At 33.8% G+C, this 13508-nt stretch overlaps 1 protein-coding gene across 8 annotated transcripts in view; it reads left to right on the forward strand.

The window, feature by feature from the left end:
- FOXP2 (forkhead box P2) overlaps positions 1–13508 on the forward strand; it is a 607439-nt gene that overhangs the window by 541442 nt on the left and 52489 nt on the right. For 5 of the 8 annotated variants that reach the window (NR_033767.2, NM_148898.4, NM_014491.4 and 2 more), the window contains 3 exons: positions 772–909; positions 2037–2237; positions 3760–3937. Coding sequence is in view for 6 of the 8 variants with exons in the window: in NM_148898.4 (NP_683696.2) it covers positions 772–909; positions 2037–2237; positions 3760–3937 (517 nt within the window). In the remaining 2 variants the exon portion in view is untranslated. Of the gene's footprint in view, positions 1–771; positions 910–1823; positions 1875–2036; positions 2238–3759; positions 3938–13508 lie in introns of all 8 variants that reach the window. The other 3 variants (NR_033766.2, NM_148900.4, NM_001172766.3) reach the window with 2 other exon arrangements.

Consider the following 13508-nt stretch of genomic DNA (forward strand, 5'->3'; position numbering starts at 1 on the left):
GAATAACCTTTGAGTAATTGCTAAATTTTTGTACTTCCTATTATAAGCTCAGTTGCTTGAAATAAGAAAAGGTTTAAAGAAGAAGCTAGAATACTAGTTATATGAGTTCTTCTTTCAGAAGACCTATGTATGTCATTATTTTTCTGGATATACACACAGACACACACACACATATATATATATATCTCCTATATGAATTATCACATGTTGTCATATGCTAAATTTTATTACTATATTTATTTTCTAGTACTTTATCATGTGTATATAAAATTTTGAAGATGATGATTATATTTTTAAGTAAGTATACTGTATACATGCTTTTTACTAGTTTAGATAACATTTATATGCATATTTCCAATTTTTTAATCTTTAATATTTATTTTAATTACACTTAAGACATTTCAAAAACCTTTGTATTTATAGCACAGTGACATTGATGAGATGATCAATTATGAAATATTGAGAACACCACCATGTGGTTGTTTATTTTTAACTATAGATATTATAGCCGAAATTCAAATATCTAAGCATGTTAAATAAGAGCTATGGAACATAAAGAGTTTGATGAAATCTGATGCCTCTGGAAAGCTAGTGTCTATGTTTTGTGATACTTTAGTACTATTGTAAAGAAGTTATAGTAAAATGTGACGTAAAAATTATTGATCATCAATGCTAAAGAATTTATAAAAGATAACATACTATTTGTGAAGTTGATTAACAGATATTTGGTTATGACCACGAATTTTCTTTCTCTTTCTCTTTCTGTGCAAGGTGCCTGTGTCAGTGGCCATGATGACTCCCCAGGTGATCACCCCTCAGCAAATGCAGCAGATCCTTCAGCAACAAGTCCTGTCTCCTCAGCAGCTACAAGCCCTTCTCCAACAACAGCAGGCTGTCATGCTGCAGCAGGTAATGTGGGTTACCTGCTTTGGTGTTCTAGCATGACTTAGAAGGTGTGCACTTATTTTGAAAGTGCAGTGGGCATATTTGACAATTCAGTCTCCATTTGAAAGGACAACCTATTAGCGTGCTAGAACATAAATGTAACATTTTAATTATAGAACTCGTAAGAAAATCTAGATTGCTTATTTTTTTAAAAAAATTATTAAAGTCTAGAATAAGAGCAGAGAGAGGTGTAATTTGAAAATGGAATGAGCCAATATTTAAATATTCAAATGCTTAGGTACATTCAATTTGTTGACTTGCCAAAAAAATGCAAAAATACTTACCAGATAATAGTTGCTTTTAAAACTCCTAACACCTTAGCATTCCTTTTAGTTCACAAAAGTATGAAATTTGAATAGACCACTTTGTTAAAATGGAGAAAGTAACATCCCAGATTTTCCTTTTCATAGTATACTCATCGTTTAGAAAGAGAAGAATCTATTTATTATAATGAAATTAGGCAGCTGAGCCACAAATTTATGAAATTTATCTTTTTAAAATAACAAACATAGTGTTCCTAATAAATACCATATCGGAACCCTGAGTGTATATAGACTTTATATTATACACTTACTTATTAGAGAGAAAATAATGTGCTTTACCTGAAATTTTTTATATATAATTACTTTGCTAACTTCTGTGCTGATGACTACAGACCAATTACTTGTAAATCTGACATTGTTCTGAACATCTGATGGATTAAGTTTTTTCCAATAAGAATTGAGCAACCTGATTTTATGTAGCTAAATTTTTATTCTTACAACTGGTAGAGTATAGCCTAGTTTTTATGTGTCAGTAGGACTTCAGATGTAATAATTTAAAGTATTAATTTGGCTCTGACCCTTTAGAATACAGACTTTCTATACCCTTTTGTTTAGGATTTTTTGGATTCTGGATTGGAAAATTTCAGAGCTGCCTTGGAAAAAAATGTATGTAGAGCTGTCTCTTTGAATCCAATGTATATTTTTTGTTGTTTTTATGGGATGAATCTTAATGGATACTCTGCCATATGCCAGTCTAGAAGAGTTTAGGAGATTTATAATACGTGAAACTTTTGCCTTTATTTATTAAAGTCAAAATGGTTTATTCAGCAACAACTACAAGAGTTTTACAAGAAACAGCAAGAGCAGTTACATCTTCAGCTTTTGCAGCAGCAGCAGCAACAGCAGCAGCAGCAACAACAGCAGCAACAACAGCAGCAGCAACAACAACAACAACAGCAGCAACAACAGCAGCAGCAGCAGCAACAGCAGCAGCAGCAGCAACAGCATCCTGGAAAGCAAGCGAAAGAGGTAGGATCCGGTTATCTCATTGATACATAACAGTTTGCAGTTAAGAAGGGGCTTTGAGCGGCAAGAATAGTCTTAGATCTTCCTATAACAAGGCTCTTGCTGTCAAAGTTGCAGTATTATATATTTTTACTGAGCTTAGTAACAGTGATAGGCTCTCAGGCTCTCCTTTTTTGTAGCATGGGACTTGAGAGTTACAATCTAATGCTGCTGTCGTCTAATGTTCACTAATGAATCACAGTACAAAGAGCAAGCTGTGTGGTGGACAAAGTACTGATTATCTTGTATTCATGGAGAATCTAAGTTGGTGAGGGAACCTTATTTTTCTCAGTGGTGCAGCTCAGAGAACATGCATGCAAATTTGGCCTATTGTTGGGGATAGGGAGACTAAGGGAGAAACTGGTTGAGCACAGATTTCAAAGTCACAGGCCCCTGATTAATGAACTGCTACTGTAGGTTGAGAGTGGCGAGTAGAAAGTTACAGTTTGATATGCTCATAAATCAAACTGACAAGCGGGCTTCTCAGGCCTAGCTTGCACTTGTCAGCAAACTGCATCAAATATAAACATAATACAAACAAAACATGTTGAAGTAGTTAAATTGATCAGCAGGTATCAGAGCCGTTGTCTTCAAGCTGCCCATTATGCAAACGTACAGGAAACAGTTTTGACCTCCTGAGGCTTTGTTTCTGTTTGGATTTGTGAATAGAATTTCAGACAGCCATCAACTACAGAATAGAAATTGCTCCCTTATTTCTCCCGAGGCTTTGGGCAATCCACATGACTTGCTCCATTATGCAGTCTGTTTTCCAGTGAGCGCATCAGAAGTTTCTCTTTTCCCCAAACTAAAAAGGAAAGGTCTTCCACAGCAGCTTGTCTTTCTCTGAAGTGTGACTGCCATCTCATACCCTCTGGAGTCCAAAGACCTCTGGTTTGTCTTGTAATGCCTCACAAAATTGGAAGTTATACTTTTTCTTATAATAAGGGCACTTTTTTTTAATTTTGCCTTGAACGTAATTCTGCCTTTAATATATTCCAACAAGAGAGGAGAAGAGAGAGAGAGCTAACAGGCCTATCCTATGAAGGCTACATCCCAGTTTACTAATAGATCACCAGAGACCACATTCATGGACCTCTGCAGATCAAACTTATTCAATTGGAAAAAAAAAAAAAGTGTGTCGTAGAAGTTGACTATTTCTGTAAAGTAGTGTTCTTTTAATCTAGAGAAATGTATTATTATCTACAATAAGTAGATTTTAAAAAGCTGAACCTTTATTACATACTATCTCTAGACCTTGCTCCATACTTTTTTGATGCAAGTTCCTTGGTTCTCTAACACGATTTAATAATTGAAAGAAAGGCAACTGAAAATCTAGAACTTACTCACATTCTGCCCCTGAACTTTGACTATGGGATGACCAAAAAACCCACTCAGGCAATGAAAGGAGTGTGCATTTCCCTGTAAGAGAGCTGTTTGTACAGACCATGTTCTCTGCTGTTTACTGGTTTGGGTTTTCTGATACCAGCAGCAGCAGCAGCAGCAGCAGCAACAGCAATTGGCAGCCCAGCAGCTTGTCTTCCAGCAGCAGCTTCTCCAGATGCAACAACTCCAGCAGCAGCAGCATCTGCTCAGCCTTCAGCGTCAGGGACTCATCTCCATTCCACCTGGCCAGGCAGCACTTCCTGTCCAATCGCTGCCTCAAGGTACATACAAAATGTTGTGCACTCTTCATTTCAAATCTTGTACTTTCTACCATTTCATGGCCTTTCTGCCTTATACCTTGAGAAATTTTGTTTTTATGACTTTCAAATTTATTATTAAAACGTGATTGTTAACATGGTGGCATGACCTATTTTCTAGAGGCTCAGAAATTTTACCATATACTGCTTTCAAGTGTGAAGTAAAACTTTCAAGTTTTTGTTAGATATTAAATGTGTATTTATTAGTCTTATGGGCACAAAATGATTTATAAGGGCAACACAATTCAAGCACTATTGAATATACAGGAGGATCTGCAGGGAATTGGATTACCGGGAAGGCTGACAGCAGTCCATTTAACTAAGTGAGCTGATAGGAGTTTGGTGGACAACTGATAAAAGAAAGATAAAAGTTCCTAATCTTCACACTGAAATCACCACATGTTAAAGAGAGGCTTCATGAATTTCTATAGAGCACATTCCAAGTTAAGCTTTGTAGAACCCCATCCTATGTCACAGGACATATCCATTCTTTTTTCTCTCAAATAACATTGCCTATGCATGTATTGTAAACTATAGTTTTAAAAAATCTGTCAACTGTATTCTTATTTTTCTGTAAGAAAAATTTGGAGGTACTCTGATAATACAATTGTGTGTCATATTCATAACCCTTCACTTTTGGGAAATGGAAAGTTTTAAATTATAAAAGACAAATAATGGTAAACAAATGACTGTGTGCTAAAATTCTCAATTCAGGTAAGTTATATATCATTACACTTCATAAAGGGATATTCTAACTTGCATTTGGATTTTGTTGGGACAAACATTAATCCAAATGTACATTAATTCAAATTAATTATATTTGTCACAGAGGAGTTCATATTGTAGTAGCATTGGCTGCACATTTTGCTGATTCTAAAGGACATACTAAAGAAAATCAGGAGTATCGTGGTAATGTTCTCTCTTTTTATTTATCAAATTAATGTCTCTTTGGCTTTTTTCCCCCTGGTTTTCCTCTCTCACTTGACTTCAAATCTTCTAATTCACCTGATTGAAGCACTCCTAGGAAATCAAAAAAGATAAAGTTTAAATAGCAAAAGAAAAACAAGGCAATAAGCCTGTTTTTCTGAGTTATTCTAAAGAATATTGGAATAAATATTCTAAAGAAAATTGGAATAAATCATAGCGTCATTATATCAATGAATGTTCTATTCACAATTATTCTTCTTTAGAAAAATAAATACAATTTAAAGACATGAAAAAGTAAAAAAGAAAAGAGTTTATAAAATTATTTCAGTGTAAACATGGATTTCTTCAATAGAAACTATACTAAAACAGAAAAAATATTGTTTTTGTTTTCAGTCAAGTTCAAATGAAATCTGTATTTAGGATATAATTATATGAGAATTTCCTCAACAGAAAAGCATGATCTACCACAATCTTATTTTATTAATTCAAGTAAACATTTTAAGAAAGTTTAAAATATGTGCTAATAGAAACACAGTGTAACTTGTTTAAAACATATTGTGAAACCACATTCTTTCAAAACAAGCAAAAAACATCTCTCTGAACAATGAAATTTATAATGATATAATCATTCTAATAGTTTTCAAATAGAAATTACCTGAATTCAAATTAAAATTTATTTTCATAGAATCCTTGTTTCTCTCTTTTCTTCTGTTTTTATCCTTGATAAGATATATGAGAGATAAAATGAGAAAATGGCGAACATTTAGGGAAAGGAAAGTAAATCTGAAAACATCTGTCTTTGAGCAGAAAATTTATATTTTAAAAAGGAAAAAAGATGAAATCACTCAACTATGTTTTCATTAATATAGGTTAAAAAAATCCATCTGAATAATTGTAGGGCCACAAATGTAGTTGGTTCACCGATCAAAGTTTGTGTTGTTGCCATGTAAGCCACACAAACCGGCATCATTGTCTTGTTTTTTACGATTTAGATGATTAAGTGTGAAAAATATCATTGTGGAGGCTCATTGTGTGTTGAATACACCAGCTACAGTAAAGGAACCTAGCGTTACGGTACTATGCTGGAATCCCAAAACTAGAGTGGGGAAAAAGTAAAGAAATATTTGTTGTACAGTGTAAGCCCTGAATCATTTCTTCCTTAGTTAGAGGTTAAGGTAAAAGTATTTTGAATATTTTTATTATCAGTTTCCAGTTCACTTTTTACCAGGTTTTTGATTGGTTGATTAGCCTTGAAAAATAGCCATATAAAAACCAAGTAGGATTAATGTGCAATGATGGATGATGTTCTCATTGTGTCTTTAAAACTGTATCTTTTCTTTTTTTTTTGAGGAGTCTCACTCTGTCACCCACACTAGAGTGCAGTGACGCTAACTTAGTTCACTGCAACCTCCGCCTTCCCGGGTTCAAGCAATTCTCCTCCCTCAGCTTTCCGAGTAGCTGCAATTACAGGTGCCCACCACCACGCCTGGCTAATTTTCATATTATTAGTAGAGACAGGGTTTCACCATGTTGACCAGGCTGGTCTCTAACCCCTGACCTCAAGTGATCCGCCTGCCTCGGCCTCCCAAAGTGCTAGGATTACAGGCATTAGCCACTGTGCTCGACCTAAAACTATGTCATATTTTATTTGTCCCTATAATTTAACACAACTTCTTCATGCTACTTTTAGAGTTACAGCTTCTTAAATTATATTAAAATATATGTATATAACAATGAGAAATAATAAAATTATAAGAATTTTGGTAGAATAGCAGATTTATCTACATTCCTCTCTAAAGTTTTATATTTATCATCTTAGTGTAAATTATTTTAAATATTAATCATTTAAGGTCATCATTAATATTACTATAATATTGGATTTTAGTTAGGCAAGTAAACTTCCATCTCCTAAGTATATGTTTGGTTTGTATACAGACAGATGATAGATATATACATAAGTATAGGTATATAGGTATATACATACATATGTCAAATAGAAAGGATGGATTTATAGTTCCATCTTGAATAATATACTGATTATAAATCTATGTAATATATGAATAACATAGTTTATATATTATCTAGTAATGAAATTTAGTGAAACATTTTAATGAACCAGGATAATTGTCTATTGGTTAGGAAAGATGAAGTTAACTTTAAACATTGATATGTTTGTGACATCCGATAAACGTTTGTGTACTCTAATCCACAATATATTCACACATTTACTATGACTATATGGATAGGAATACATGTGGTGATGATTTTCTGTCACTCCAAGTTTTTACATATTTTTTAATTTATAAAAGTTATTTAGAAGACAAGATTTTCCTTTCCAATTTGAGAGACCAAACAGAGAATGCTAGATTCTAGCCTGGATTCTTCTGAATTAACACATTATAGAACTAGAGATTCTCAGAATAAGAGTGGTTGAATAATAATTAAAAATGAAATATTTGAAATAAAATATAATGTTTTTAGGCTAAGTTAGAATTGTGCCGAAGATAGTCTTTGGGCGCAATATTCAGCCAAAATTAGCTGTTTGGCTTTGGCTTCATTCTATGCTTATGGAAGTCTAAGTAGCCAAATGCCTACTTCTGGCATCCTGGATTTACTGCTTAATCAATGATCTTGTGATTGCATAGATTACTATTGTATGTAATTGTAGCAACAACACTACCAATATGAACAATCCATGTCATGCAAAAATATTACCATGTCAGTATTCCCTTTCAAATATCAAAGTTTTCCATTTGTAACTTGGGGAAAAAATCTTATTTGGTGCTTTATGTGCTAAAATTTCATCACTGAATTGAAGTTTTAATGTACATTTATTATTGCAGGTATAAAACTCTGCCAAGCTACCTGTGAATGCTGTTAATTTTATGTTTAAAAAACTAGTAAATACTTACATATATAGAAAAATATTGAGTATGTTGAGTTAGTTTTTGAAAAAATGTAAAAAGATTGAGATTAAACTGTATCATAACTCTATAATTCTTGTAGAATTATTTTGTGAACTAGAATGTATAACATTAAAATGAATTTAATTCCATTTATCTCTTAAGTCTTTTTTTAAAGTTTTATTTGGCAATTCTTTACATCTTGAGAGGAAGACTCGAAAGCAGTGTGTCAACTTTGCCATATTAAAATATGATGAGAAAAAGGAAACATCATTGGTTTTGTAATAGAATATCCATCAAGCTTTTGAAATGCAACCTATAAAAAATGATAGTACTAATTTTTGTTAATATCAGATGTATTCACATATCCCAGAAGTTCCTTCTTTGGAGAAGATAATTTATCTTTGATCTCAGTTTCAGCTGAATACCTACTTCTGCTAAATTTGGCATTTGGACAAAGCATGTATTTAATTCACCTCTCATTAGACAAGCATTTTAAAGATAGGCATTGTATCTGTAGGTGATAGTAGACCTCTAGTCAAATATAAATCAATAATATGTTGAGTTAGTCAAATTATAAATGAACACCCAGATCTCTGAAGGATACTCCAGAAACTGGGACTCTCTTCTGAAGAAGAGATATGGGTATCCAGAGGTCAAGGCTGGTAGGGAAGTTTACTTTTGTAATATATACCCTTTTCTGTGATTCAATTATTCTGGCCATGTATGTATACCAGTTTTTAAGTTTCACATCTTAAAATACAAAATTTAAGATGAAAACTGAAAAGTACATAGTAATATCTCAGTGATTCAAATTCAAATATTAAATATCAATTTGGCTTAACAGAATATATATAATACAAATGTTTCTACCAAAACTCACTTTTATTACTTTAAATTATAAGTAACCTTAGAAAATAAGTAGCGTATCACTAAATAAGTTAGTTAAAAATTAACAGTATACATACTTTGCATCATAATATATACAATTATTTGTTTAACATTTAAAAATCAATTACTGGACACAGAAAAAGAAATGACATTGAAAAAATCTTTTTTTTTTTTTTTGAGTGTAAAAAAGCTGCCAAGGAGATTTTTTACTAATAAAAATTGCTTTTTACTTATTTTAGTGATAAGTAAAAATCATCTTAGCAGCATTTTCAAAGCTGTGTTGAAACTAGCGTAGACATTTTTAAACTTCGTGTGCCTTAAGGACATATAATCTAGATATGAATTAATTTTAATTAATTCTTAGCACAGTGCTTGTCATCTTGTAGATACTCCACAAACTCTGAATATGGGATTAAGGAATTATTATTAGGCCAAGTACAGTGGATCACACCTATAATCCCAGCAATTTGGGAGGCTGAGGCTGGAGGATCACTTCAGCCCAGGCGTTCAAGACTAGCCTGGGCAACATAGTGAGACCCTATCTTTACAAAAAATAAAATAATTAGCTGAGCATGATGACGTATGCCTGTGGTCGGTCACATCCCAGCTACTTGGGAGGCTCAGGAGGGAAGATCACTTCAGCCCAGGTCAGGGCTATAGTGATCTGTGATCATGCCATTGCACTCCAGCGAGACCATGTCTTAAGAATTATTATTAAGTTGTATTATCTGTGGTATGATAGACAATTTGATTAAGGAATTACCCTTTCATTTACTCAGCTCCTGTGGTAAAAACCTTTTAATATTTGTGGTACTGGCAGTGAATAAGCACAAGCCCAAGTTATCAACCAAAAGTAGAATAGGGATTCCCAATTTTTTGTGGCCACGGAATTTTAAAATTGCATAATTACAAAACTTTTTGGCACTACTAGTATATATATCCTTGAAATAAGAGAAACCGAATAATCTTCACTTAAGATAAAAGTTGTCTATTAATCATAATAGTCTAGTCCACAGATTCCCAGAGTATGTTTGCCAGTACACGAGTGTTCTGGCCAAATTTTAAAACTCTTTCAAGTAACATTCTTTGAGCTTTCTGTGACTGCAGGCACTCTTATAGACACTGGGGATATAGCAGTGAAGAAAACAGACAGAAATCCCTGCCATCATAAAACATACATTTTAGTGTAGAAGGCAGATGATAAATAAGTTAAGTAAAATATATAGTGGTGAGCGCTAAGGAGAGAAATAAAGGCAAGAATAGGAAAAGCCTAAGTAACAATAGGAAAATGGGGTGACCCTCAGAAGGAGTCCTGAGAAAAGGGTTAATGAGTAATGACCTGAAAATGAGAGGAAGCTCTGCGACAGAGTAGCTCTAGAGCAAGGCCTTTTCTTTGCCTTAGTGTCCCCATCTCTAATATAGGGATAATAAGAGCAATAATAATGATAATAATGGTTTGGGGTATTAGATTAGATATCATATGTGAAGCACTTAGAAGAATGTCTGCCATATCAAAAGCACTATGTAAGTATCAGTTAAATAAAACAGAGACAAAGAAAACTCTAAAGAGGACTGAGTTGGGGTTGAGGGAGGGGGCTGTATAAACAGGAGCTTAGTTTTGAACATGGAAAGTTTAAGAAAACGGATAAGGTTACATGGGATTTTCAAATAGAAAGACTGGGAGGGGTATGGGATGGGATCAGTTGGTGACTCCTAAGTTTACACCTGGTATTTAAAACTTACGCAAACTAGTGTAATTATAAAGAGTTTCTTGGGTTTTTCTTGCTCAAATAGAATTGGAAAACGCTGACTTCAAAATGAGATTCAGGTTTTCCTTGTTACTACACATCTCAGAACTATTTTACATGAATAATAAGTCCCCAAGACAGAGACCACAGATCTCTTAGATTAACAGCATTTATAAGACTACTGTTCCATAGAACACTGTTTTGGAAATACTGAACTTGTTATATTACTGCCTCAAGAATAACCTAGATTAATCATTGCAAACCATCAAGCCTTCAAAGCTCATAAAACTTTCAAAATTGTACAAAATCGATTGGCTAGTTGTTTCACATTTCATAAGTAGTTTTGTAAGCATATAAAAGAGCTGAGCAATTTTTAGGTTGAAAGCTTTGTCCCAAGAGCAAGGTAATAGTTTTCTTTTTAAAAATGTCCCCCCAAAATTATCTGTGCATTGGAATCACCTTTGGAGCTTCAAAAACTACTAATGCCTGTGTTTCCCCTCTAAAATTGTGGTTTTATTGGTGTGGGTTGTGGTAAGGCCTTTAGAGATTTTAAAATATGCCCAGGTGATTCTAATATGCAGACATTTGAGGATCCACTGCCGCTAAAAGGAATTTTTTGACTTCTTTTATTCTCTGCCTCTTATCTATTATATAATTTAACACTGTGTCTTCCTGTTTTTAATTAAGAAACATTATTTGGATTATTTGAACAGGCCATTTATTCATCTAATATTTATTGAGGGCCTACTAACTGCCTGACATTTGTTACTTCATTACAATAGCACGGTTATATCACTAATTTTCAGTACAAATGAATAGTATCATAGAAATCTACTTTTAGAAGGCAAGTGGATACTTACATAACTAAATTATTAATAAAATCCAAAAACTGAGTTACCAGTAACATCGTTAGTTGGTATAATCTCTAAAACCATCTAAGAGTCTTAAACTGAGATATAAAATGTTGTTAGCCACTCAATCTATGTTAGAAGCAACTAGTGCCATATATAATTCTTTAGACACTGGTCTTGTATTGTAGCAATATTCATATAGAGTATGCCCTTTAAGAGTCACAAAACTTCCATGTGGGCACCAACATGTCTTCAAGAAATGTATGACTCTATTATAATCAATGGAATCTACAAATATTTATTGAGCACATGCCACGCACTGTTCAAGGCAGTGGAGATACACCAGTAAAACAAGAAATTCCTACTCTTATAAAACTTCAGTTGTATTAGAAGGAGACTGGTGATAACAAGAGGTAGACTAGATAGATAGATAGGTTAAATGGTTTCAGAAACTGTTACATGATTTTAAAAAAAAAGCTGGATGAGGAGTTAAGGAATGCTAGAAGGGAGGGTGGGGAGGGGCAGGGGTTGATAGTATGGTTGGAAACTTAGAGGAGGTGAACTTTGAACCATCTAAGTAAAGGGAGGGAGGAAGCCAAGAACAGGTTGTGGGAACAACCAGAGCAAAGGTTGGAAAGGGAGCAAATGTTTGATACATTTGAGAAGCAACAGAAGGCTGGTATAACAGAATGAAAAGTGAAGAGAGAGCGGTAGATGAGATCAGAGAGACAGGCAAGAGCCAGATAATAAGTGCAGTGCCCCATAGGCTATATTAAAGGTTGTTTTTGTTTCTGTTGTTGTTGTTGTTTTGTCATTTTGTTTTCTTCTAAGTATTCTCGAAAGCCTTTGGAGGCCTTGCCTGGGAAGCGACATGACCTAATTTACATTTATAGAGAGAATACTTGGATACTCCATGAAGAGTAAATTCATATATTCAAGGCAAGGTAATAGCAGGAAGACAGTTGGAAGGCTATAGCTGTGATCCAGGCAAGAGTTGACAATACAGCAGAGAGGCAGCTGGTAAGATGGTGAAAGTTCTAATGCAAAAGACATGTTGGTGCTATCATGAAAAAGGATTTGCTAATGAAGTTTTCCTGTTGGGACACCTAACATACACCAACAGATAATCAAAATTTACTGTCAGAAGAGTTTCAGAATTCTAGGTTAAAGCAATAATTATAGATCTTTATATAAAAAGTTGTTTCCTATGTAACAGAGAAACCTTTCTTTATAAAGCCACTTTCTTTTTTTATGGAAAAAAAATGGGTTGTAGTAACTTTGGAAACCCGAATTATCCTGTTTTTTCTTTAGGCTAGGTCCTTGTCTTAAATCTCAAGGAGCCAGAATCACTGAAATGATAGCCTTCAGTAAAACTACCTGTACGAAATTGTGATAGGCATAGCTATTTAAGGTTAATGCTGTGATGAATAATATAACCAGAAGTTATGTTTGGAACAGTGAGAATTCTTCTGTTCCTATTGGCTACTGGCCAATACTTAGATATAGTGATATCTAGATCAGGGATTTTTCCATTTGCAGGGATTGGGGTGAGAGAGTTCATTCTTCTCACCATCATATTCTGTTATCTTGCCCCATCTCCCGTGACTATTCCAACCTGCTTCACCCCACACATCTCTTACATCACTATAGTATCTAATGTAGATGTATGTTCGGTTGGGAGAGGTAGTTTGAGTTGCACTTTCATCTTTATATTAGATGTTATAGATGCACATAGTAATTAAGAACATAGATTTTGGAGCTACAGAGCATTGAGTTTGAATTCTGCCCACTGATCATAAATTGGGTGATTTGGGGGAACATATTTAATGTTTCTGAGCCTTCTTGTAAAATATAATGATTTCTAACCTCAGGTGAGGTTAACTAAGATTATAAATGTAAAGCTCTTAGTAAAAATGCCAGAATATAGTAAATACTCTCTTCATTTTTTCCTGTACTTATTTATTCAGTAGTTTTAATATTTTCTTAATATAGTATTTTAATAGCAAATATACTCAAGCCAGACTGCCTGGATTTAAATCACAACTTTACCACGTAGAAGCTGTGTGATCTTGGACATATTTTTTAACTTCTCTCTTAGTTTGTTTCCTTTTCCATGAATTGCTTAATCATACCAACTCTATTAGTTTGTACTGAGGATTAAAAAGCACAAGGTCTATAAAAAATATACAAAGACACAGTACTATTTTGTAAGTCA

The sequence above is a fragment of the Homo sapiens genome, chromosome 7 (assembly GCF_000001405.40).
Source record: "Homo sapiens chromosome 7, GRCh38.p14 Primary Assembly".
Lineage (NCBI taxonomy): Eukaryota > Metazoa > Chordata > Mammalia > Primates > Hominidae > Homo > Homo sapiens.